The following is a 26,041-nucleotide window of genomic DNA, read 5'->3' as shown; positions in this document are numbered from 1 at the left end:
ATCAGGGGACTGCAGCTGTGCCTCCATGCATGAGTGCCCAGGTGGCACTGGCTGCCGGCTTGCCCTGCTAAGTGGAGGTTTCTCTTTTTAGGTACTGTCCCAACTGTAAGAAGCATCAACAGGCCACAAAAAAGTTTGACCTATGGTCCTTGCCCAAGATCCTGGTGGTCCACCTCAAACGTTTCTCCTACAACAGATACTGGAGGGATAAGCTCGACACAGTCGTAGAATTCCCAATCAGGTGGGTCATGGTGACTACAGTGTTAGGAACATTTAAAAACAGGCAGAAAATCTTGGCACTGATTGGCTGAGTGGTTTGCCACCAAAAACTTTTCTGAGTAAGGATGTGTGTTGCCGGGGTCTAGGAGGTCAGAGTTTAGCTGTAGTTACCCCTTCTGTCCCTATCCTCCCATCTTTGGGGAAGAGACTCTCCAGTGGAAGCATTTGCCCAGACACAGGCTGCTGCCAGTCACCCCTGCCACTGCTAGTTTCCCTCTCGAGTCACTTAGGCCACCTAACTGGCCTTCCTGTCCATCATCTGTCACAGGTAGCCTCACCTTAGCAGAGGCAGCACAACAGGGGACAAGGCAACCAAGAATAGCCTGTCAGGTAGAGTTGGGTTATTATTGGGGGCTGCAGGTGGGCTGCACACCTGCCATGATCCTGTCCCTGGGGTAGGGATTGGGACTGGCTGTCTACTCATATCCTCTCAAGCCCCACAGTACAGACTGTAACTAAGAACAGGAAAGTAAGTTAACAGATAGATGTTCCCTGGCTGGGCACAGTGGCTCACATATCATCAATTTGGGAGGCCAAGGTGGGAGGATCACTTGAGCCTAGGAGTTCAAAACCAGCCTGGACAACATAGAGAGACTTCCTCTCTACAAAAAATAAAAAATATATTTAAAAAAATAGGCTGGGCACGGTGGCTCATGCTTGTAATCCCAGCACTTTGGGAGGCCAAGGTGGGCAGATCACAAGGTCTGGAGATCGAGACCATCCTGGCCAACATGGTGAAACCCCATCTCTACTAAAAATGCAAAAGTTAGCTGGATGTGGTGGCGCACACCTGTGGTCCCAGCTACTCAGGAGGCTGAGGCAGGAAAATCGCCTGAACCTAGGAGGCAAAAGTTGCAGTGAGCCAAGATTGCACCACTGCACTCCAGCCTGGTGACAGAGCGAGACTCTATCTCAAAAAAAAAAAAAAAAAAAAAAAAAAGAGGCCGGCACAGTGGCTCACACCTGTAATCCCAGCACTGTGGGAGGCCAAGGTGGGTGGATCACTTGAGATCAGGAGCCGGAGAGTAGCCTGGCCAACATGGTGAAATCCTGTCTCCAGTAAAACTACAAAAATTAGCTGGATGTGGTGGTGCACGCCTGTAATCCCAGCTACTAGGGAGGCTGAGGCAGGAGAATTGCTTGAACCCACTAGGCGGAGGTTGCAGTGAGCCAAGATTGTGCCACTGCACTCCAGCCTCAGCAACAGAGCAAGCCCCTGTTTCCAAAAAAAGAAAAAAAAAAGGGAGTTGCCCACAAAATGTAGATTTTAAAATGCTTTCTGGGGGAAAGAATAGATACATGAAGTATAGCATGTCAGCAGGAGACGCCAGGTGATGGATAATAAGTATTTGTTGTAAAAATTCTTTATCTTGGCTGGGCGCAGTGGCTCACACCTGTAATCCCAGCACTTTGGGAGGCTGAGGTGGGCAAATTACGAGGTCAGGAGTTTGAGACCAGCCTGACCAACATGGTGAAACCCCATCTCTACTAAAAGTACAAAACAAAATTAGCTAGGCATGGTGGCGCATGCCTGTAATCCCTGCTACTTGGGAGGCTGAGGCAGGAGAATCACTTGAACCCAAGAGGCAGAGGTTGCAGTGAGTCAAGATCGCGCCACTGCACTCCAGCCCGGACGACACAGCGAGACTCCGTCTCAAAAAAAAAAAAATTCTTTATCTTTTCTGTGTGTTTGAAAATTTTTAAATAAAATATTGGAGGAAGAAAGCTTTCTGGGGCCTGTTTTGGTTGAGTTTAAATTATTATGGCACCAACTGTAATTCTGTTAAGAACAGCCATTTCTGCATACTTGCTGAAGCCCTCTGTGTGTATCTCTAGACCCTCATCACCATTTTGTCTGGTGCTGGAGTTACCCAGAAAGGTTCTCCCATTTTCTTTTGTTGTTGTTGTTGTTTTTTTTGTTTTGTTTTTGTTTTTTTTTGAGACCGTGTCTCACTCTGTCGCCAGGCCAGAGTGCAGTGGTGCGATCTCGGCTCACTACAACCTCTGCCTCCTGGGTTCAAGCAATTCTCCTGCCTCAGCCTCCTGAGTAGCTGGGACTACAGGCGCCTGCCACCATACCCAGCTAATTTTTGTATTTTTAGTAGAGACGGGGTTTTACCATGTTGGCCAGGATGGTCTCAAACTCCTGACCTCATGATCCACCCACCTTGGCCTCCCAAAGTGCTGGGATTACAGGCATGAGCCACTGTGCCCGGCCTTTTTTTTTTTTTTTTGAGACGGAGTTACGCTCTTGTTGCCCAGGCTGAAGTGCAATGGCACGATCTCGGCTCACTGCAAACTCTGCCTCCCAGGATCAATCGATTCTCCTACCTCAGCCTCCCAAGTAGCTAGGATTACAGGTGTGTGCCACCATGCCCGGCTAATTTGTGTGTGTGTGTATATATAAATGTATATATGTGTGTGTGTGTGTGTGTGTGTGTGTGTGTGTGTGTGTGTATATATATATATATACACATACTTTTTTTCTTTTTTGAGACGGAGTCTCGCTCTGTTGCCCAGGCTGGACTGCAGTAGTGCGATCTTGGCTCACTGCAAGCTCCACCTCCCGGGTTCACGCCATTCTCCTGCCTCAGCCTCCCGAGTAGCTGGGACTACAGGCGCCCACCACCACGCCCAGCTAATTTTTGTATTTTTTAGTAGAGACAGGGTTTCACCGTGTTAGCCAGGATGGTCTCAATCTTCTGATCTCGTGATCCGCCTGCCTTGGCCTCCGAAAGTGCTGGGATTACAGGTGTGAGCCACCGTGCGCGGCCTAATTTTTGTATTTTTAGCAGAGACGGGATTTCACCATGTTGGTCGGGCTCGTCTCGAACTCCTGATCTCAGGTGATCCACCTGCCTTGGCCCCCCAAAGTGCTGGGATTACAGGCATGAGCCACCACACCCAGCCCCATTTTCTAGCCTGAATATGTCAGTGGTCAGAACATGGATCCTAGAGTCCCTTCCATCTTGGTCTCTCTCGAATAGTTTGAGTGCCTCCCTGTGTTCTGCCCTGTTGCATAACAGAGGTTGCTGGGTTACTCTTAACTACTTTGTTTGGGTTTAACATATTCAATAACTATTTTTGTGTTTTGTGCTCAGAGGGCTGAACATGTCCGAGTTTGTCTGTAACCTGTCAGCAAGGCCTTATGTGTACGACCTCATTGCCGTGTCCAATCATTATGGAGCCATGGGGGTTGGCCACTGTAAGTATTGACATCTGCTTCCTTCTGAGATGTTGAAATGTGCTCGGCCATCATCTCTCACCAGTGGACCAGGCATTGCCCTAAATGCTTTGCTTATGCAGTTTCACAGGCTTCATGCTGCACGCTTTCTTCATACTGATTCCCCTCTCTGTTTTTTTTTAATTCTTTTTTTTTTTTTTTTTTTGAGACGGAGTCTCGTTATGTCACCCAGGCTAGAACACAGTGGCGCAATCTCACTCACTGCAAGCTCTGCCTCCCAGGTTCACGCCATTCTCCTGCCTCAGCCTCCTGAGTAGCTGGGACTACAGGCGCCCGCCACCACGCCTGGCTAATTTTTTGTATTTTTAGTAGAGACGGGGTTTCACCATGTTAGCCAGGATGGTCTCGATCTCCTGACCTCGTGATCCGCCCGCCTCGGCCTCCCAAAGTGCTGGGATTACAGGTGTGAGGCACTGTGCCTGGCTGGTTTGCTCTTTTTTTGAGACAGATTCTCACTCTGTCACCCAGGCTGGAAAGCAGTGGCGCAGTCTCGGCTCACTTGCAACCTCCACCTCCCGGGTTCAAGCGATTCTCGTGCCTCAGCCTGCCGAGTAGCTGGGATTACAGGTGTGCGCCACCACACCTGGCTAATTTTTGTATTTTTAGTAGAGACAGGGTTTTGGCATGTTGCCCAGGCTGGTCTTGAACTCCTGGGCTCAAGCGAACCACCCTGCCTTGGCCTCCCAAAGTGTTGGGATCACAGGTGTGAGTCACCGTGCCCTGCCTGTGTTCATTTTTATTTGCTAATTTTTGCACACAAACATACCATTTGGGCAAGTTTCTCATCCTCAGTTTTCTCATCCATGAGGTTAGGCTGGTTGTGTGAGGGTCCACATTGGGCCTACAGTTGGAACTTCAAAATTGAAAGCCACCGTTGCTGCTATTGTGTCAAGCACAGACTGTGTGAACTGGCCTTGGGCACCTTCTCTGTTGCCCTTTCCCATGATCCTCACCACCACTTTGTGCAGTCAATGCTATAGTGAGGAAACTGAGGCTGAAGTGTTAAACACCTTACCTAAAACCACACAGTAAGTTGACACTGGATATCAGATCTCCATTGGGTTCTGTAGTTTCTGAGAGTCTGGGTGGAGCAGGAACTGGGCTGGGATTGCTGTAATAAACACATCCTGCTTGGGAATAGTGTAAAGTCAAGACAAGAAGCATTGCCTCTGGGAAATGCTTGAATCATTGTGGGAAACTGTTACCTAACCACAGACTCTGGACTCCTAGTTTTAGAGAAAGATAAATTTTTTTTTTTTTGGATATGGAGACTAAGGTATGTTGTTCACATCCCAGCTCTGCAAACCCAAACACCCAATGTTCCTCTAACTGGGATTATTCTGTAGGCTCCCGAGGCACTAAGCATTCTGTTGATGTTAGTAGCCACCTGCCTAGATGCAATGGGGGAGACTGACTTGGCATGTCCTTGTGAGAGCTATTGTTTTGCTTAAATCTTAGAAGTTTCAGCTCCTTTTATGGGTTCCCTGGTTTTGGATTATTGCACATAGCCATCCTGAAGATTGGCACTGAATAGCTCTGTTTTTTCTATTAGTTTCCCAAAATTATAGTTTAAAATCTTGGTCCCTGACAGCTCCATTTTTAGCCTTTTGATCCTTTTTGAGAAGGAACAGATTAGAAAAGAAGGTGAGTTGTTTTTTGGTTGTTAAGACACACACTGTAAACTTTTTTAATTTCAGGGGTTTTGTTTTGGGGATTTTTGTGTTTATTTAGTGCAAGCCTAATAAGCTAGCCAGATTAATTCTCTGGAGACCGCTAGAGTATTTTCTTTGTTGACTTGGCAGACACTGCATATGCGAAGAACAAACTGAATGGTAAATGGTATTACTTTGATGATAGCAACGTGTCCCTGGCCTCTGAGGATCAGATAGTGGTGAGTAGGCCATGATATGTGGTTCTTCCTCATGTCGTTATGGATTAAAGCTGGGAAGAGCCTCTATCAGGCTAGTTGGTTATTTCATCATCCTGATGTGATAGTGGGAGCTAGGTGTGACAGAGCTGGCTGGCATTCCTTCAGGGACCTTCATAAATGAGAAGCTCAGCTCTCCTCAGAGTTCTCTGCACAAGGCTCCTTCCATTTCCTGCTGCCTGGCAGGGGCAGCCATCCTCAGGTGGAAGGGTCTCCTCTGTGTGGATATGGCAGATCCTTGAGGGTTTTGGACAGCTAGAGAAAAGCTGGGGAAAATGGGTGATTTTTCCAAGCACTGAATGGTCTTTCCCCCTCTTGTATTTCAGACTAAAGCAGCTTATGTGCTATTTTACCAACGTCGAGATGATGAATTTTATAAGACACCTTCACTTAGCAGTTCTGGTTCCTCTGATGGAGGGACACGACCAAGCAGCTCTCAGCAGGGCTTTGGGGATGATGAGGCTTGCAGCATGGACACCAACTAATGCTGACTCCACGATCCTGCCACCCTGTAGCGCCAGTGTAATCCCCCAGGAGAACATCTTTGACACTCTGCAGACTGCTAGTGTTCTGTCTAAAAACCAGACAAGGAAATACCCTTCTTTTATGAGCAGAAGGAAACAAAAAAAAAAAAAGAAGACCGTTTACCTAGAAGAAGCTATGTCAAGAGGCTGAATTATTTTTATTTTTAAACAGGTGGTGAGAAATTTCTGTGAAACCTGTGAAGCTGAAAAGGGGGTGGGATGGGGGTACTCAATGGAGTATGTCTGATGGATCCCGAAGAATGGAGAGGAACACAGGCGCTGAGTATGGAGCAGCCTGGAGACCCACCCCACCTGCAGGGCTGCCCTGAGCGCCTGGATTTCTGGTTCTGATGCCAATACTAGTCACCCCAAGTAGTCTGCTCACAGTAACCCAAACCTCAAGTAAACTCCCCTTTCCCTCGCTATGTGCACTGATATGGGTTTATAATTTTCTGAAAGTTACCCACTGAAGCCCATTTCTCCGTTGAGTCATCTTGTAATTTCCAGCTTTCTCCCCGCTAAGGAAGATATCTAGTGTTGGGGATCCTGGCCCCTCAACCTCCTGTGGAACCCAGCAGTTCTGTTATATCCCCTGCTACCCTAGATGAATTAAGACGGTTAAATACTGTGTGGAACTTTTATTAGATAACACACTTTTTATTAGATAACGCTTAAAGGAAGTCAGTACATAAAACTGCCCGGTGCTGTGTCCCGTCTAGTTGTTTCCATGTTGGCTTGAGAACAGAAATCTTTGTGGGAGTTAGCCGGGAAAGGGCTCCAGTTCATGGCGATTTAGGGTAGTAATACATTTTGGTGTTACCCAGATGCTTTCTAGAACGGGTTCTTTCCTCATCCCTGCCAAGACTCTTCCCGGGGCCCCCATTCGAAAGCCCCGTCCCCACTCCCACCGCGGGGCCAGCCGCTGCGTGTGGGCAAGGCCTTAAGGAACCGGACGTATGGGTCCGGGATTTTTTGTCTGACCTTCAACCTAATCCGTGGGGGTTTGGGGCCTGCGCGGGGCACGCGCATGCGATGACCGTTGGATGGGTCGGCGTCACTGCGCTGCGGGTGAGGACAAGGACGTGGCTGCCGACTCGCCAAAGGGGGGGTGCCGGTAGGGCCAGCGGCCTGGGAGCCGCGGTGGGGCGGGAGGCAGCGGCGGGGCGGGCCAGGAAGCTGTGGGAAGTGGGGCGGGGCGTCTTTGGGGCTTCTGGCAGATGGCGGGTTCCTCCGCGAGAGCCGAGAACCGCCTACTCCAGGAGGAAAGCCCGAGGGTTGTGGGTCCTGCTATAGCCAGGGCCAAGCTCCAGGAAATCGTGGCCATTCAGGGGTAGTTTGCAGCCTCATTTGTAACATTATTGTGTTGTCCTGTGCATTTCCAATGCATTACATAAAGACATGGTCGCTTTTAGGAGAAATGTCTGAAAAACTAAGAAGATGCAGAAAGGAACTGACTGCAGCCATTGACCGGGCCTTTGAAGGAGTTAGTTATTCCCAGGAGTGCACAGGCCAGCAGAGGCTGGAACTGAGCGCCGCGCCGCTCTCCTTCTCGCTGCCCGTGCACAGGCTCCTCTGCAGAAGACATCCTCTGGCAGCCTGCTCTTCTGCTGCTCCTTTTGCTGCTGTCCCATGTGCTCCTGAGAATGAGAACCCTGCCTTTGCAACAAACCATGCCCCGGTAAATGCAAAACCACATGCTCTGTGCCCCGAGAGAAAACCTCTAACCAGCAAGGAAAATGTATTGATGCATTCCTCCATTTTGGCACCTGAAAGAGAGTCTTGGAGAACTGCAGGAGAGGGGGAAAACTGGAGAAAAGAAAATTTAAGGTGATTCTAATTTTGATGGTTTAACAGCTACAATTAAGGGGATTCTTGTTTCTGAAAAAGTTGTTGAAGATCCTAGATTTAGTTCATGACAGTGCTCTTGCCTCCTCTTGGCAGCTCTGTGACTGCATTTGGGGAGTTGACAGACATTCTTCAGAATCTGGCCTAGGAAACAGTTATATTTTGTGTATATGTTCCAGTTGAGGGGCTAGTTGTCAATCGTTGATGTCAAAAACCAGTCATGGAAACCACTTTGCAGTACCCAAAGGGGTAGTGGATGTAAAATAACCGGGTTTTAAAAATAACCTTATTTTTTAAGTTGCAGAAACAAAAGTCTTAATTCCATCTTAACTCCTGTGTTTGAATCTGGACACTGGGGCCTTTGATACCCTCCTTTGCCCACATTAGGGAGAGGCTTAATTGAAGGCTGGGCCCTACTTCCTGGCTTCATCTTTGCCTCTGCTCCCCGCTCTTACCCCAGATCTTTTTGGACCATCACCAGGTCTCTTCTAGACTTTTTCTTCTCCCGAGTAACTTGAAATTGCCTGGTCCCAGGCACCTTGACTTGGAGAAGGGATGAATGTATGAGATGAAACTTCAGGCCGGGCGCGGTGGCTCACACTTGTAATCCCAGCACTTTGGGAGGCCGAGGCGGGCAGATCACGAGGTCAGGAGATCGAGACCATCCTGGCTAACACGGTGAAACTCTGTCTCTACTAAAAATACAAAAAATTAGCCGGGCGTGGTGGCGGGCGCCTGTAGTCCCAGCTACTCGGGAGGCTGAGGCAGGAGAATGGCATGAACCCGGGAGGCGGAGCTTGCAGTGAGCCGAGATCACGCCACTGCACTCCAGCCTGGGCGACAGAGCGAGACTCCGTATCAAAAAAAAAAAAAAAAAAAAAAAAAAAAACTTCAAAGTTCTGCCATCTTGGCTGCTTCATAGGAAGGGGATAAAGAGGCCATTTAATTGGTTCAACTCCACAAGAATTTTTTTCCTTTCAACTCCACAAATATTTATATTGGTACTCATAAGCAGTGCAGGCCTTGCCGGGTGTGGTGGCACGCCTGTAATCTCAGCACTTTGGGAGGCTGAGGTGGGTGGATCGCTTGAGGTCTGGTGAAACCCCGTCTCCACTAAAAATACAAACATAAGCCGAGCGTGGTGGCGCGCGCCTATGATCCCAGCTACTTGGGAGGCCGAGGCAGGAGAATTGCTTGAATCCTGGAGGCAGAGGTTGCAGTGAGCTGAGATCTTGCCATGGCACTCCAGCCTGGGCAACAGAGCAAGACTCCATCTTAAAAAAAAAAAAATGCTGGGCACAGTGGCTCACGCCTGAATCCCAGCACTTTGAGAGGCTGAGGCGGATGAATCACCTGAGGTCAGGAGTTTGAGACCAGCCTGGCCAACATGGTGAAACCCCGTCTCTACTAAAAATAGAAAAATTAGCTGGGTGCCGTTGCGGCCGCCTGTAATCCCAGCTGCTCCAGAGGCTGAGACAGGAGAATCGCTTGAACCCAGGAGAAGGAGGTTGCGATGAGCCGAAATTGCGCCCTTGCACACCAGCCTGGGCGACAAGAGCAAGACTCTGTCTTTAAAACAAACAGGCCAGGCGCGGTGGTTCACTCCTGTAATCCCAGCACTTTGGAAGACTGAGGCGGGCAGATCACCTGAGGTCAGGAGTTCGAGACCAGCCTGGCCAACATGGTGAAACCCCCATCTCTACTAAAAATACAAAAATTAGCTGGGCGTGGTGGCAGGCGCCTGTAATCCCAGCTACTCAGGAGGCTGAGGCAGGAGAATCACTTGAACCTGGGAGGCAGAGGTTGCAGTGAGCCGTGATTGCGCCATTGCACTCCAGCCTGGGGGACAAAGCGAGACTTCATCTCAAAAAAATAAATAAAAAATAAAAATAAATAAATAAGTAAACAAATGCAGGCTGGGTGAGGTGGCTCATGCCCGTATTCCCAGCACTTTGGGAGGCTGAGGCGAGTGGATCGCCTGAGCCCAGGAGTTCGAGACCAGCCTGGGCAACATGGCTAAACCCTGTCTCTAAAAAAGAAAAAAATTTAATACAGTCTGCGATGCTCGTGAGTCATTATGGTAAAGCTGTTAGTCAATTTCTCCACTGATGTAGCAGTTTCCAATTGTCCTTTAATCAAAGCATAAATGACAAGGTCACCAGTAAGTTTTTGTCTTTGAGATTATCTAAAACTGAGTTTCCCTTCAATATTTTCTTGAAAGAGAATCTAATTCCCCACCTTTTCTTCCCCCCCACCTGGGGGCTGCAGGAAAGATATGGAGAGAGATTTGAAGGCTGACTCAAACATGCCACTCAACAATTCTAGCCAAGAGGTCACAAAGGATCTGCTTGATATGATTGGTGAGTACAGTGGGCAAGTCCATCCTGTCCTTGGGAAGATAGGTCCTTCACATGGGTCTGAGTCAGCAAATATCTCAGATATAAGAAATGCTCTCGGCCAGGCACGGTGGTTCATGCCTGTAATCCCAGCACTTTGGAAGGCCGAGGAGATCGAATCATGAGGTCAGGAGTTCAAGACCAGTCTAACCAATATGGTGAAACCCCGTCTCTACTAAAAATACAAAAATTAGCCAGGCGTGGTGGTGCACGCCGGTAATCCCAGCTACTCGGGAGGCCGAGGCAGGAGAATTGCTTGAACCCGGGAGGCAGAGGTTGCAGTGAGCTGAGATCTTGCCACTGCACTCCAGCCTGGGGGACAGAGTGAGACTCCCATCTCAAAAAAAAACAAAAAACACTCTCTTCTAGCTTGGGTACCATACATAGCGAGATCTGTCTCTTAAAATTTTTTTTAATTAGCTGGGCACAGTGGTGTGTGCCCATAATCCCAGCTACTAGGGAGGCTGAGGTGGAAGGATCACTTGAGCCCAGGAGTTCAAGCTATGATCATACCACTGTACTGCAGCCTGGGCAACTGTGCGAGACCTCATCTCAAAAGAAAAAACACCACCACCACTTTTTGGGGGGAGAGACAGAGTCTCATCATATTACCCAGGCTGGAGTGCAGTGGCACGATCACAGTTCACTGCAGCCTCAACCTCCCTGGGCTCAGGTGATCCTCCCAGCTCAGCCTCCCAAGTAGCCATAGTACTACACTAGTACTACAGGTGCACGCCACCATGATTGGCTAATATTTGTATTAGGGTTTTGCTGTGTTGTCCAGGCTGGTCTCGAACTCCTAGTCTCAAGTAATCCACTTACTGTGGCCTCCCAGTGCTGGGATCAGGCAAGAGCCACCACTCCCGGCCAAAACACTCTTATCTTTTTATTTGGTAGATGTTTTGCTCAGACTCTGCATTGATTAGGGAACTGAATGTTAACAAAACCTGTCCCTTCCCTCATACAACTGATTATCTTGTGAGGTGATAGATACATCAATCAGGTCATGTCATCAATGTTTAGATGCACTGAGTCCCTGAAGGCAAGGGATGGTGGCCACTAGGACATGGTGATTGAGCTTAAATTTTTAGGAAACAGGACATAGGCAAAAAGGAGAGAGTAATTTAGCTGGGGTCAGTAATTAAAGATTAGGAGAAAAGGGCTGGGCACAGTGGCTCACACCTTTAGTCCTAGCACTTTGGGAGGCTGAGGCGGGCAGATCACTTGAGGTCAGGAGTTCGAGATCAGCCTGGGCAACATGGCAAAACCCCTTCTCTACTAAAAACACAAAAAATTAGCCAGGCGTGGTGGTGCACACCTGTAATCCCAGCCACTTGGATGGCTGAGGCATGAGAATTGTTTCAACCCAGGAGGCAGAGGGCAGAGGTTGCAGTGAGCCGAGATCGCACCACTGCCCTCCAGCCTGGGTGACAGAATGAGACTCTGTCTCAAAAAAAAAAAAAAAAAAAAAAAAAAAAGATTAGGAGAAAAATTAGAAGTCAAAAGCTTTCCTATAATTCTACCACCCAGAGATAACCACTGTTAATATAGATATAGTATAGCATACATCCTGTCAGACTTTTTTTCTACATACAAATCTGAATGTCCTGTATGTGAACTACATGTGCTCTATTTTTTATTTTGTCTTTTTATTATTAGTAGTAGTATTTTTTATAAATAGAGACAAGGTCTTGCTTTGTTACCCAGGCTGGTCTTGAACTCCTGGTCTCAAGTGATCCTCCTGCCTCAGCCTCCCAAAGTGCTGGGTTTACAGGCAAACCATGCCAATGTGCCCTGTTTTTAAAAAACTCATACTACAGCTCCTAGTAAAGGGATGTATAACCGTGGGTGCTGCCTGAAGCTGTTGTTTCTGAAGGATCTCCAGGTTATGAGGGAGGAAAGGGAGGCCTGGTGAGGGTAGGGTACACCCCCTGGGCCACAAAGTAAAATCCCTGCCAGCCTGTGACTTCAGTGGCCTGAGTCTCCTCCAGTAGCCCCAGGAGGTAAACTGAAGTCATTACTGCCTCTACCCACCATCTTCCTTGGCTTTCACCAACATCAGGGAGGTTTTTTTGTTTTTTTTTTTTGTTTTTTTTTTTTTTGAGACAGGGCCTCACTCTGTTGCCCAGGCTGGTCTCAAACTCCTGGGCGCAAGTTATTATTCTACCTCAGCCTCTCAAGTTGCTGGGATTGCAGGTTACACACCACCGCTCCTGGCTGGGCAGCAGTTTATTACCCTAAAGACCTTGTTTCCTTGTTTTTTTTTCACATTGTGTCTTGTCATCCCTGAGAGCCAGGACAACCATGTACATTTCTATACCCTCCCACTTATACCTTTCTTGGGGACTGGCATATAGTTGGAACTCACTAAATGCTTGGGCCTGAAAGGAAGGTACCAAACCCACCTTAATTTGGCAGTCTGGCAGCCTGCCTGTCCTGGGGCAGGAATGCCTGCTTTTACACAATCCCTGATAAATGACAACCCATTCATGGTTTTTAACTTGCACCTGAAATGTCTTCAGAAACCTTCCACTGGAATTGTAAAGCTGAATGTTCTTATTTTTAAGACCATACAAGCATCCGAACTATTGAAGAATTGGCTGGAAAAATAGAATTTGAAAACGAATTGAACCACATGTGTGGTCATTGCCAAGATTCACCCTTCAAAGAGGAAGCCTGGGCCCTGCTCATGGACAAGAGCCCTCAGAAGGCCACAGATGCTGACCCTGGCAGCCTCAAACAGGCTTTTGATGATCATAATATTGTTGAGACTGTTCTGGACTTGGAAGAGGACTACAATGTGATGACGTCTTTTAAATACCAAATTGAGTAAGGACAGTTATCTAAGCTTTGATTCCTTACAGCAGGAGGCTGCCCTTGAGCCTGAGCAGAAGCAGCTACAATGGCCGTCAGGGGCCACATTTCTCAAAAGGTTGGCAGAACCTGAATTACCAGACCCTTTTTAAATCCCAGTTGTGTCCCTTTTTAAGCTGTGAGACCAGTTTTTTGAATTCCATTGCTTTGAAATGTTTCCTATTACTGATTTTTTTTTTTAACTTTCCTTGACATCTTGAATGTGTTTTTTTGATTGATGTTCAATATACCCAGTACCCATGGTAGGTGTGGGTCATGGGCCTCTGCTGTGTCTCTTAGTGTTCTTTTCCACGGGCCCCTAAAAAAGTACAGGAGTGGCCAGGCACAGTGGCTCACGTCTGTAATCCCAGCACTTTGGGAGGCCAAGGCGAGTGGATCACTTGAGGTTAGGAGTTTGAGACCAGCCTGGCCAACATGGCGAAACCCCATCTCCACTAAAAATACAAAAATTAGCCAGGAGTGGTGGTGTGCACCTGTAGTCCCAGCTACTTTGGAGGCTGAGGTAGGAGAATTGCTTGAACCTGGAGGCGGAGGTTGCAATGAGCCGAGATGGCACCGCTCCCCTCCATCCTGAGTGACAGAGCAAGACTCTGTCTCAAAAAAATAATAATTTAGCTGGTCATGGTGGTTCGTGCCTGTAGTTCCAGCTACTTGGGTAGGGACTGAGGCGAAAGGATCACTTGAGGCCAGGAGGCAGAGATTGCAGTGAGCTGAGATCACGCCACTGCACTCCAGCATGAGTGACAGAGTGAGACCCTGTCTCAAAAAAAAAAAGAAAAAAAAAGGGAAGAAAGGAAACTGAATCTCAGGGAAGTGCCCACCTCCTGAGCTAATAAGAGGAAGGAATATGGGGGTGAGGCAGAGCTGGCAAAAGGCTGTTTTTTGTTTTGATTGTTTTTAAAGACCAAGTGAAGTATAGTATAAGAAGTGGGGAAGGAGTGGAACAAGGAGTTAGATCTGTAACTGTGAGTAGTCAATTGAGATAACTCAATACCTTTGGACCTGATTGTTTTTAAAGACTGAGGGTAGTATAAGAAGAGGGGAAGGAGTAGAACAAGGAGTTAGATCTGAAACTGTGAGTAGTCGATTGAGATAACTCACTACCTTTGGACCAGCCAGGGCTGTTTATAAGTGCTAAAGCCCGAACAAACCAAAGAGTTGGGGAGAAAGGCCTAACTAACAGCTGAGTGATTGTCTAACAGACTGTCTTTTAGGCCAGTGACTCTGGCATAGGGCAGGCTGCATAGCCAGCAACATCCCTTACCACAGGTCTAGTGATTCCTCTGGGCTCAAATGTGGAGGCTACACACCCACTCCTTAGCAGAGGTTGGCCTGGCACCTGCTGGTGCCCCAAGAACTATGGCATGGTTAGACCCTGGCCACTTGATTGCATGTGCCTCCCCAGTGGGCGTGCCCTGGTTCCCAACCAGTTGTGGCCACTGCCACTGCCCTGCCTGGGGCAGGAGTTGAGGTTAAGGCTAACTACAGGCTCCTTCCAGGCCACCTACCACTCAGACCCTGCAGGAGGTAGCACAAAGCATTCACAGCCTGTGGAGTCAGAGGCCAATTTCTTCTCCCTGAGCAAGAAGAATGGAAGCAAATGAAAAGTGCTCACAGTATGCTCAACTGCCCCTGCTCAGGTGAAGAATAGCCTGTCTGGATGGAGAGATGTCAGGCTACTTGATACTCAGAAAAACAGGTCTCAAAACAGTGCCTTCCAAATAATACATGTGGATGTGGACACTCTTCTATAGACGAGGTGGAGCTTAATTCCTGTCCTTACCCCCATATTCCCACCTCATTACCACCCTTTGAAGGTGAACTAGACTTAATGATACTTCCCACGACTAAAGTAGGGAAAGGGAAAAGTCACAAACTTATAGTGGGGAAGCCTGGCAGACACCTAACCAAGTGATGTCATGTATATGTCATGAGAGGGGTGCATCACTTCCCTGGTATTCCTACCAAAAACCCAAATTCCCAGTGTATGATCTTGAGACAAATGTTAGACAAATCCAGACGTGGGGTACATTCTACAAGATACCTGGCCAGAACTCAAGACTGTTGAGATGGCCGGGTGCAGTGGCTCATGCCTATAATCCCCGACACTTTGGGAGGCTGAGGCGGGCAGATCACTTGAGGTCAGAAGTTCGAGACCAGCCTGGCAAACATGGTGAAACCCCATCTCTGCTAAAAATACAAAAATTAGCCAGGCATCATGGCATGTGCCTTTAGTCATAGCTACACAGGAGGCTGAGGCAGGAGAATTGCTTGAACCCAGGAGGTGGAGGTTGCAGTGAGCCAAGATCGCATCACTGCACTCCAGCCTGGGCAACAAGCAAGACTCCACCTCAAAAAGAAAAAAAAAGACTGTTGAGGTCATGAAAAATAAGGAAAGACTCAAAAACTATCAACAGACCACTAAAGACCAAGAAGACACAATGGCTAAATGCAACATGGAATCCTGGAGTGCATCCTGGAAGAGAAAGAGAACATTATTGGAAAAACTGATAAAACTTGAATAAAAACTAGTGTTTAATGTATTGATGTCAGTTTCTTAGTTTTGACAAATGTGTCAGAGTTATGTAAGATGTTAACATTGGAGAGGCTGAGTGAAGGATATATATGAAGTACATTTTCTGTAAATCTAAAGTTATCCCCAAACTTAAAATGCATGTAATTGCACTTTGGATCAAGTGCAACTGATCTCAAGTTTGTGAAAATGTGTATGAGCTCATGTGCAAAAAAACTTTTGGGGGTGATGGATAGGAGGGTATAGTCTTTTTTTTGTCATCTGTATTTTCTAATTGACCTGCAGTGGACATGTATCACTTCTGTAAAGACAAAAGCAGTTAGTTTAAAAACCCTCATCTCCAGTCAACTAGCCATGGACATCCTTCACAAAGTACCTGTCCAGACCCAACTTTCAGTTTCTGGAGTGGAGCCTAGGGGCCACACCAGGAGGGCTTGGCAGGACCCTGACACGAGGGCAGTCCTTTTCTGGGGGAGCTAGATCCTCAGGAGCTGGGTTATCTAGGTCTCAAAGAGCTGTTTCTCAGGAGCTCAGTTAGTTCACTGGTTTACTACTGGTCAGGGCCTGGCCCCTCCCAGGTGGGGCTTTGCAGCCGTGGCTGTATTAAATAGGGATCTAGCCAGGCAGGGTGGCTCACTCCTGTAATCCCAGCACTTTAGGAGGCTGAGGCGGGTGGATCACTTTAGGTCAGGAGTTCAAGACCAGCCTGGCCAACATGGTGAAACCCTGTCTCTACTAAAAATACAAAAATTAGCCAGCGTTGTGGCGCATGCCTGTAGTCCCAGCTACTTAGGAGGCTGAGGCAGGAGAATTGCTTGAACCCAGGAGGCAGACATTGTAGTGAGCTGAGATCGTGCCATTGCACTCCAGCCTGGGTGACAGAGTGAGACTCTGTCTCAAAATAAATAAATAAATAAATAAATAAATAAATAAATGGGGATCTATCTATCCCTTACTCTAGAAGACTTTGAAATTTATTTATTTTTCCTACCTGGAGTAGAGACGGGAATGAGGGCCCAGCACAGGGTGGGGGTGAGGAATGAGGGAGAATACAGGCTCTCCCTGGCCAGAGAGACAGGTATGTCTTTGCTTAAGCAAAGCCTTTATTTAAAAATTCAGATTTTCCAAACAGGCAATTCATCCTGGAATCCTTGAATGTGGAACTTTTCCTCACTAGAAATGCAGCTGTACAGTCAAGCAGGTGAGTCCTGAGCCTCTCCATGCCAGTCCCAGATTAGCAGGGAGTGGGCACATAGGCCTCCTCATTTCCCTGGTGACACGATCTACTCCCGTCTCTGCATCTCTGGCTCCCTGAGGTGCCCAAGAAGAACTTCCCGCCTTCGTCATCTGAGTCTATACAGTGAGCAGATACACGCTCATTTGCTCAGAACAGGGTTTGGGGAGCTGTTCTCCAGGGATTTAGTTGGAGGGGGAACAAAAGCCCAGAATTTTAATAAAACTTCCTCAGGTTTTTAAGGAGCTAGGACCAAATCCTTCTCAGGGAGACTTGATAGTTGACTTTGATCATGACTGAGAAACTTTAAATATTTTACATCATTCAGTTCTCTCCCCCACAGTTCATCTTGGCAAGCCAAACAATCACTGAATTGTTTCCGTGGAAACACCAAACTGCAATTTGGATTACCAGAATCAAAATAGAAACAAGACAGCTTCAAAAATAAATAGCTTTGGAACTTGCTAGTTGCAAACTGCAAATTCAAGCCATAGCACAAGGCATATGAGAAGATGGACCCATCCAACCCTATGACAAGAGATTTCCAGGATCCATGGCTGCATCCCACCAGTGTTCATGCCAAAGCCAGTAGAAACCAGGGTTGTAAGCCAACTGATGATAAACTTCGTAACAATACTTAAGGGAGGAGCTGGTCTTTAGAAGCTTCTAGAAAGAGAGATTTAAGAGCTGGAAGGGAAGGCTGAGAAGAAAGGGCAGGAACAAGGAGAGAGATAAGTGAATGGTGGAGTGAAGTTCCAGCAGGGAACACAGAGTCACAGCTGAGGCCTGGGAGAAAAGCAGCAATTCTTTTTTTTTTGAGACAGAGTCTTGGTCTATTGCCCAGGCTGGAGTGCAGTGGCACAATCTCGGCTCAATGCAACCTCCGCCTCCCAGGTTCAAGGGATTCTCCTGCCTCAGCCTCCTGAGTAGCTGGGATTACAGGCCTGTGCCACCACGCCTGGCTAATTTTTGTATTTTTAGTAGAGACTGGGTTTCACCATGTTGGTCAGGCTGGTCTCGAACCCCTGACCTCGTGATCCACCCGCCTCGGCTTTCCAAAGTGCTAGGATTACAGGCGTGAGCCACCGTGCCTGGCCAGCAATTCTTTCAAAAGGGAAATTAAAAAGGGCTGGCTGCAGGCTGGAAATGACCCGGCCCTCAGTTCATTCTGATTCCTGTGTTCCCCACACTCACAGGCATCACGCCTGTGTAGTCACGTGGATCTGGTTCTACATTGTGAACTCTTGCCAGTTGAGCTCTGGGAGCACTTACATTAGCACACCTCTGCCTCTGTGAGGCTCAAGCCACCACAGTTGGGCACTGGGACCTACCTTCTCATCTCTAGGACTCAGGGTTCCCCTTACCCATCTATCTGCTGCTCCCCTCACTCTTAGGATAGGGGAGCCAACTCCTGGCACACCTGCCCTGATTCCTTGGCATTCTCCTGGGCCCACCCCACCACCGTCTCTTTCAATCCCAGAGATGATTCCAACAGCATCCACAGACCAGAAGGAAGGAGACAGACAACCTGGAGGCCTGTGTCCCTCACCTTTTCACTCAGGAATGCAGTGATAAAGTAACACCATTCTGCCAACTGGTGAAATTGTGAGTTGTCAATGTTCAAAGGTCAGTGAAGAAGATTTGCAAAAGGGGCCTAGCTCAGGCCAATCTCCCTCCTGAAATGGCTAGACCAGGGGCTCACCTGGTATTAGAGTGCTGTTTCTTTTCTTTCTTTTTTTTTTTTTTTTTTAAGACAGAGTCTTGGCCGGGAGTGGTGGCTCACGCCTGTAATCGCAGCATTTTGGGAGGCCGAGGCAGGCAGATCACGAGGTCAGGAGATCAAGAGGTCAGGAGATCAAGACCATCCTGGCTAACACGGTGAAACCCTGTCTCTATTGAAAATACGAAAAAATTAGCTGGGCGTGGTGGCAGGCGCCTGTAGTCCCAGCTACTCTGGAGGCTGACGCAGGAGAATGGCATGAACCCAGGAGGTGGAGGTTGCAGTGAGCGGAGATCACGCCACTGCACTCCAGCCTGGGCGACAGAGATAGGGTTTCACCATGTTGGCCAGCCTGGTTTCGAACTCCTGACATCAAGTGATCTGCCCGCCTTGGCCTCCCAAAGTGCTGGGATTACAGGCATGAGCCACTGTGCCCGGCCCAGAGTGGTACTTTTTTTTTTTTTTTGAGACGGAGTCTTGCTTGGCCTCCCGAAGTGCTGGTATTACAGGCATGGGCCACTGCGCCCAGCCTCAGAGTGGTACTTCTGATTGAGCCACAAGATGTTTTAATGTGGTAGCAAAGACCAATGAGTCATGCAAACCATGGGAGGACTTGGGAAGCCAATACACCTGATTATAGATGATTATTGAAAAGGCTCTGGGCCAGGTGCAGTGGCTCAAGCCTATAATCCCAGCACTTTGGGAGCCCAAAGCAGGAGAATCACTTGAGCCCAGCAGTTCGAGATCAGTCTGGGAAACAGGGAGACACCATCTCTATTTTTAAATTTTGTGTGTGTATGGCAGGGTCTCACTCTGTCACCCAGGCTGAAGTGCAGTGGTGTGATGTCGGCTCACTGCAACCTCCGCCTCCAGGGTTGAAGTGATTTCCTGCCTCAGCCTCCCAAGTAGCTGAGATTACAGGGGCCTGCCACCACACTTGTTTAATTTTTGTATTTTTTGTAGAGATGAAGTTTTGCCATGTTGGCCAGGTTGGTCTGGAACTCCTGACTTCAAGCGATCCACCTGCCTCGGCCTCCCAAAGTGCTGGGATTACAGGCGTGAGCGACCACGCCCGGACTATATTTAATTTTTGTTTTTGTTTTTTTGAGACGGAGTTTTGCTCTTGTTGCCCAGGCTGGAGTGCAATAGTGCGATCTCTGCTCACTGCAACCTCCGCCTCCCAGATTCAAGCGATTCTCCTGCCTCAGCCTCCCGAGTAGCTGGTATTACAGGCAGGCACCACCACGCCCGGCTAATTTTGTATTTTTAGTAGGGACGGGGTTTCTCCATGTTGGTCAGGCTTGTCTCAAACTCCCGACCTCAAACAATCCGCCTACCTCAACCTCCCAAAATGCTGGGATTATAGGCGTGAGCCACCGTGCCTGGCCCTTTTTAAAAAAATTTTTATAAAAAAAATTAAAAGCTGGGCACGGTAGCTCATGCCTGTAATCCTAGCACTTTGGGAGGCCATGGCGGGTGGATCATGAGATCAGAAGTTCAAGACCAGCCTGGCCAAGAAGGTGAAACTCCATCTCTACTAAAAAATAAAAAAAAACTAGCCGGGCGCGGTGACAGGCACCTGTAATCCCAGCTACTTGGGAGGCTGAGGCAGAGAATTTCTTGAACCCGGGAGGCTGAGGCAGAGAATTTCTTCAACCCGGGAGGCAGAGGTTGCGGTGAGCTGAGATTGCGCCACTGCACTCCAGCCTGGGAGACAGAGCGAGGCTCCGTCTCAAAAAAAAAAAAAAAAAAAAAATTAAACAAAAAAGGCTCTGTCATCCAGAAACAAGATGAGGCTCAGGCTATTTGCATTATCCTTGGAATGTGTGGGAGAATATTAATATTTTAGGTTCCAACTAAATATCTAGAGGGAACAAAGGTTTACTCAGGAAATCTATTTGACAGTGGATCCCAGCCATAGTGGGGAAGGACTCTGTGTTCTAGGCTGTCTGGAAAATGCCTGATTTGACAAAGAGTTTTGGCCTCAGGCCTGGCATAAGCTTGGCTCATGCCTGTAATCCCAGCACTTTGAGAGGCTGAGTAAGGCCGATCACTTGAGCCCAGGGGTTCAAGACCAGCCTGGGCAACATGGTGAAACCCCATCCCTACAAAAAATATAAAAATTAGCCCAGTGTGGCTGGGCCTAATGGCTCACGCCTGTAATCCCAGTACTTTGTAAGGCTGAGCCAAGCAGATCACTGGAGGTCAGGAGTTTGAGACCAGCCTGGCCCACATGGCCAAACCCTGCCTCTTCTAAAAATGCAAAAGTTAGCTGGGTGTGGTGACGGGCGCCTGTAATCCCAGCTACTCTGGAGGCTAAGAAGATGGCTTGAGTCCAGGAGGTCGAAGCTGCAGTGAGCTGAGATCGCACCACTGCACTCCAGCCTGGGTAACAAAGTGAGACTCTGTCTCAAAAAAAACAAAAAAAAAGTCAAAACTAACTTCTAGGAAGCAACTACCATTTTTTAAAATAGAGGCAGAGTCAGACCTGGCGTGGTGGCTCACGCCTGTAATCCCAGCACTTTGGGAGGCTGAGGTGGGCAGATCACAAGGTCAGGAGTTCGAGGCCAGCCTGGCCAACATAGTGAAACCCCATCTCTACCAAAAATACCAAAATTAGCTGGGTGTGGTTGTGGGTGCCTGTAATCCCAGCTACTTGGGAGGCTGAGGCAAGAGAATCGTTTGAACCTGGGAGGCAGAGGTTGCAGTGAGCCAAGATTGCACCATTGCACTCCAGCCTGGGCAACAAGAGTGAAACTCCGTCTCAAAAAAAAAAAAAAAAAAAAAGAGGCAGAGTCTCACTGTGTTGCTGAGGCTGGTCTCAAACTCTTGGACTCAAGAGATTCTCCCTCTTCTGCCTCCCTAAATGCTGGGATTACAGGTATGAGCCACCGCGCCAGGCTGCAACTATCTTTTTTGAGAGTAGACAGGCTGTTTTCTGGGCACTTTGGGTGAGAGGAGTTGCTGGGAACTGACCTGGGAAAGAAAGCATCTTGTAGGAGGCCCCTCAACAGGAGCCCTTTGGAGCTTCTGAGGCAAAAACACGAAAAAGAGAAATTGGCTGGGCATGATGGCTCATGCCTATAATCCCAGCATTTTGGAAGCCAAGGTGGGCAGATCACCTGAGGTCAGGAGTTCGAGACTAGCCTGGCCAACGTGGTGAAACCCCATCTCTACTAAAAATACAAAAATTAGCTGGTGTGGTGGCGGGCGCCGTAATCCCACCTTCTCTGGAGGCTGAGGCAGGAGAATTGCTTGAACCCGGGAGGCGGAAATTGCAGTGAGCTAAGATTGCACCATTGCACTCCAGCCTGGGCCACAAGAGCAAAACACCATCTCAAATAATAATAAATAAATAAATAGATAGATAGATACCTGTGAATGTCAAGAAAATTAGGTACTGCAATCAGCTTCATTTCCATCCTTGGGCTGTAGCCAGAGTTGTATCAGAGGGAGAAGCCCTTGGGTGGCTTGTTTGTTTGTTTTGTTTTTTTGAGACAGTCCTGCACTATTGCCCAGGCTGGAGCGCCGTGGCGCGATCCCAGCTCACTGCAACCTCTGCCTCCCAGGTTCAAGTGATTCTCCTGTCCCAGTCTCCCAAGTAGCTGGGATTATAGGCACCTGCCACCATGCCCAGCTAATTTGTTGTATTTTTAGTAGAGACGGGGTTTCACCATGTTGGCCAGGCTGGTCTCGAACTCCTGACCTCGTTGATTCGCCCGGCTCAGCCTCCCAAAGTGCTGGGATTACAGGCGTGAGCCACCACGCCTGGCCCTGTGTGGCTTTTTGGGCCTCAGGCCCATAGGCCTCCCACCACATCTGCCCCTGGGTAGCCACATACAGTTCCAGGAACATCTGAGGAGCCAAAGATGTTGATTGTTCCAGGGACATGCTTGGATGCTTGGGCTGTGTCACCCTCACCAAACCTGGCAGGAACACAGTAGTTAATTTTTTTTTTTTTTTTTGAGATGGAGTCTTGCTTTGTCGTCCACGCTGGAGTGCAGCGGCGTGATCTCGGGTCACTCCGCCTCTTGGGTTCACGCCATTCTCCTGCCTCAGCCTCCCGAGTAGCTGGGATTACAGGCTCCTGTCACCATGCCCGGCTAGTTTTTTGTATTTTTAGTAGAGATGGGGTTTCACCCTGTTAGCCAGGATGATCCTGATCTCCTGATCTCATGATCCACCTGCCTCAGCCTCCCAAAGTGCTGGGATTACAGGCATGAGTCACTGCACCCGGCCTAACTTTTTTTTTTAAGCCTTAGGAATAAATTAAGAAACAGTATCTTTTTCTGATGATCCCCAGAGACAGGCAGTGTAATTGTAATTAACGCAGAATTATTAGGAGATAAGTTTACTGTTCATTCTACAAAGACACTTAACTCATGGAACACTGAGTCACTCTAACCCTTGACTTCATTACACAAAATGAAACACTTCTGAAGAAATACAGAATTTCTTAACTCACGGCAGGATCAAAGAACAAAGGCTCCTGCTTTGGCATTTCAAAGTTGAACAGAGTTCTCAATAAGAAGGCCACAGTCAAATACTAATGGAATCTCAACTCTAAATTAAAATGACTAATCATTAAACTGTTCAACTTAGAGTAATAAAAGATTTCTAGATACAGACCCCGCTGGCCTATAGTCAGTCTGGGAAGGGCTAGAAAGAACCAACCCATTGTGTGGCTTCCGTATCTTCCTTGCACAAGCAATGAAACCCAGCAGGGAAAGCAGTGGAGCTGGCAGAGGGCAGGGTGAGAAGACACCCAGTGAGGACTGACGGGAGAGGAGAGGCCAGGGCAGCCTCAGGTACAGCTCATACCTGAACTTCCTTGGCCTCAGAGAGGGTTGCTGTGATTGCCCATGGCTCCCTACAGGCCACCAGAGGCCCTTGGTCTGGAAATGAGAGTGAGAGCAGTTTAGGCTGGTGTCTGGCAGCCCTGCCACAGGTGTCCCGGGAAAATTCAACTCCTCCATAATGAGACTTTGATGGGACACACATCCCTGAAAATAATGTAAAAAATAAGAAACAAGAACCATTGCTTTCTACAGTGGTCCACTCAGCGGCCCCAGTGTCATTTACTGTACTGGCTTGGAAATGGGCAAATTCTGGAAACTATCCATCCCATGAGGATTTTCCCCTTCATATAATACAGGAAAGGGAAAAACCAGTTTGAATGGGTGGTGTTTATTCAAAATAATCTTGTGAGAGCCTTAGGAACTAAAAAGATGGTATGTATCTGATTTTCATATCTTCTTTTTTTTTTTTATTTTTGAGAAAGAGTCTCACTCTGTCGCCCAGGCTGGAGTGCAGTGGCATGATCTCGGCTCACTGCAACCTTTAACTCCCGGGTTCAAGTGATTCTTCTGCCTCAGCCTCCAGGACAGCTGGGACTACAGGCACGTGCCACCAGACCCACCTAATTTTTGTATTTTTAGTAGAGACGGGGTGTCACCATATTGCATATTGGCCAGGCTGGTCTCGAACTCCTGACCTTTGATCCACCCGCCTGGGCCTCCCAAGTGCTGGGATTACAGGCGTTAGCCACTGCGCCCGGCCCTGATTTTTTTTTTTTTTTTTTTTTTGAGACGGAGTTTTTCTCTGTCACCCAGGCTGGAGTGCAGTGGTGCGATCTTGGCTCACTGCAAGCTCTGCCTCCCGGGTTCATGCCATTCTCCTGCCTCAGCCTCCCGAGTAGCTGGGACAACAGGCGCCCGCGACCATGCCTGGCTAACTTTTTCTGTTTTTAGTAGAGACAGGGTTTCACCATGTTAGCCAGGATGTTCTCGATCTCCTGATCTCGTGATCCGCCCGCCTCGGCCTCCCAAAGTGCTGGGATTACAGGCGTGAGCCACCGCGCCCGGCCTTTTTTTTTTTTTTCTTTGAGATGGAGTCTCGCTCTGTCGCCCAGGATGGAGTGCAGTGGTGCGATCTCGGCCCACTGCAAGCTCTGCCTCACTCTGTCGCTCAGGATGGAGTGCAGTGGCACGATCTCGGCCCACTGCAAGCTCCACCTCCCGGGTTCTCGCCATTCTCCTGCCTCAGCCTCCCAAGTAGCTGGGACTACAGGCACCTGCCACCACGCCCGGCTAATTTTTTTTTTTTGTATTTTTAGTAGAGACAGGGTTTCACTGTGTTAGCCAGGATGGTCTCAATCTCCTGACCTAGTGATCCGCCCACCTCGGCCTCCCAAAGTGCTGGGATTACAGGCATGAGCCACTGCGCCCGGCCTCTCATTTTAATTTTTAAGAGACAAGGTCTTGGTCTGTCACTCAGGCTGGAGTGCAGTGGCACAATCATAGCTCACTGTAACCTCAAACTCCTGGGCTCAAGTGATCCTCCCATCTCAGCCTTCCAAGTAGCTGAGACCACAGGTGCACGCCACCATGTCCAGCTAATTTTTTTTTTTTTTTTTTTTTGGTAGAGATAGGGTCTCACAGGCCGGGCGTGGTGGCTCACATCTGTAATCCCAGCACTTTGGGATGCTGAAGCGGGCAGATCACCTGGGGTCGGGAGTTCGAGACCAGCCTGACCAATATGGAGAAAGCCATCTCTACTAAATATACAAAATTAGCCAGGTGTGGTGGCGTATGCCTGTAATCCCAGCTACTTGGGAGGCTGAGGCAGGAGAATCGCTTGAACCCGGGAGGTGGAGGTTGCAGTGAGCTGAGATCACGCCATTGCACTCCAGCATGGGCAACAAGAGTGAAACTCCTCAAAAAACAAAAGGGCTGGGTGCGGTGGCTCACGCCTGTAATCCCAGCACTTTGGGAGGCCGAGGCGGGCGGATCACGAGGTCAGGAGATCGAGACCATCCTGGCTAACACAGTGAAACCCTGTCTGTACTAAAAATACAAAAAATTAGCCAGGCGTGGTGGCAGGCACCTGTAATCCCAGCTACTTGGGAGGCTGAGGCAGGAGAATGGTGTGAACCCGGGAGGAGGAGCTTGCATTGCAGTGAGCCGAGATCGAGCCACTGCACTCCAGCCTGGGTGACAGAGCGAGACTCTGTCTCAATAAAAAAAAAAAAAAAAAAAAAAAAAAAAAAAAGAGATGGGGTCTCACCATGTTGCCCAGGTTAGTCTTGAGCTCCTGGCCTCAAGCAATCCTCCTGCCTCAGCCTCCCCAAGTGCTAGGATTACAAGTGTGCCTGGCTTCTATTTCATTTCCTAAGTAAACTTAAAAAATTAAACCGGGACATCAGTTTGATAAACTTGAAAGAAAAAATAGGCCAGGCGCAGTGGCTCATGCCTGTAATCCCAGCATTTTGTGAGGCTGAGGCAGGCAGATCATGAGGTCAGGAGTTCGAGACCAGCCTGGCCAACATAGTGACACTCCCATCTCTACTAAAAATACAAAAATTAGCTGGGTGTGGTGGTGGGCGCCTGTAATCCCAGCTACTTGGGAGGCTGAGGCAGAATTGCTTGAACCCAGGAGGCAGAGGTTGCAGTGAACTGAGATCACA

General features: G+C 48.4%; 2 protein-coding genes and 1 non-coding gene across 4 annotated transcripts in view, besides 2 other annotated features; 2 read left to right on the top strand and 1 right to left on the bottom strand.

The window, feature by feature from the left end:
- Positions 1–7,084, top strand: part of USP4 (ubiquitin specific peptidase 4) — a 62,910-nt gene extending 55,826 nt beyond the window's left edge. For both annotated transcript variants that reach the window (NM_199443.3, NM_003363.4), the window contains 4 exons: positions 92–241; positions 3,381–3,484; positions 5,326–5,414; positions 5,777–7,084. In NM_199443.3, coding sequence (NP_955475.1) covers positions 92–241; positions 3,381–3,484; positions 5,326–5,414; positions 5,777–5,935 — 502 coding nt within the window. In that variant the 3' untranslated portion in view covers positions 5,936–7,084. The remainder of the gene's footprint in view (positions 1–91; positions 242–3,380; positions 3,485–5,325; positions 5,415–5,776) is intronic.
- Positions 6,973–7,172: a silencer, noted in NCBI's record as "silent region_14359". NCBI's record gives its function as "represses an Ori minimal core promoter by ATAC-STARR-seq in GM12878 lymphoblastoid cells {active_cell/tissue: GM12878}" and the evidence as "EXISTENCE:reporter gene assay evidence [ECO:0000049][PMID:35858748]".
- Positions 6,996–15,632, top strand: C3orf62 (chromosome 3 open reading frame 62). Its single transcript, NM_198562.3, has 3 exons — positions 6,996–7,801; positions 10,088–10,179; positions 12,783–15,632. The coding sequence occupies exons 1-3, from the start codon at positions 7,356–7,358 to the stop codon at positions 13,046–13,048; spliced, it is 804 nt and encodes a 267-aa protein (NP_940964.1). The 5' UTR covers positions 6,996–7,355; the 3' UTR covers positions 13,049–15,632.
- Positions 7,313–7,382: an enhancer, noted in NCBI's record as "active region_19859". NCBI's record gives its function as "activates an Ori minimal core promoter by ATAC-STARR-seq in GM12878 lymphoblastoid cells {active_cell/tissue: GM12878}" and the evidence as "EXISTENCE:reporter gene assay evidence [ECO:0000049][PMID:35858748]".
- On the bottom strand, positions 10,042–10,108 carry MIR4271 (microRNA 4271). The gene has a single exon (NR_036233.1). It is a non-coding gene; the product is annotated as a microRNA 4271 (primary transcript).
- Positions 15,633–26,041: the final 10,409 nt, after the last annotated feature.

This window comes from Homo sapiens, chromosome 3 (assembly GCF_000001405.40).
Source record: "Homo sapiens chromosome 3, GRCh38.p14 Primary Assembly".
NCBI classification, from domain to species: domain Eukaryota; kingdom Metazoa; phylum Chordata; class Mammalia; order Primates; family Hominidae; genus Homo; species Homo sapiens.
The sequence above is the reverse complement of the archived record's forward strand: the minus strand, read 5'-3'. Positions and strand labels throughout refer to the sequence as shown.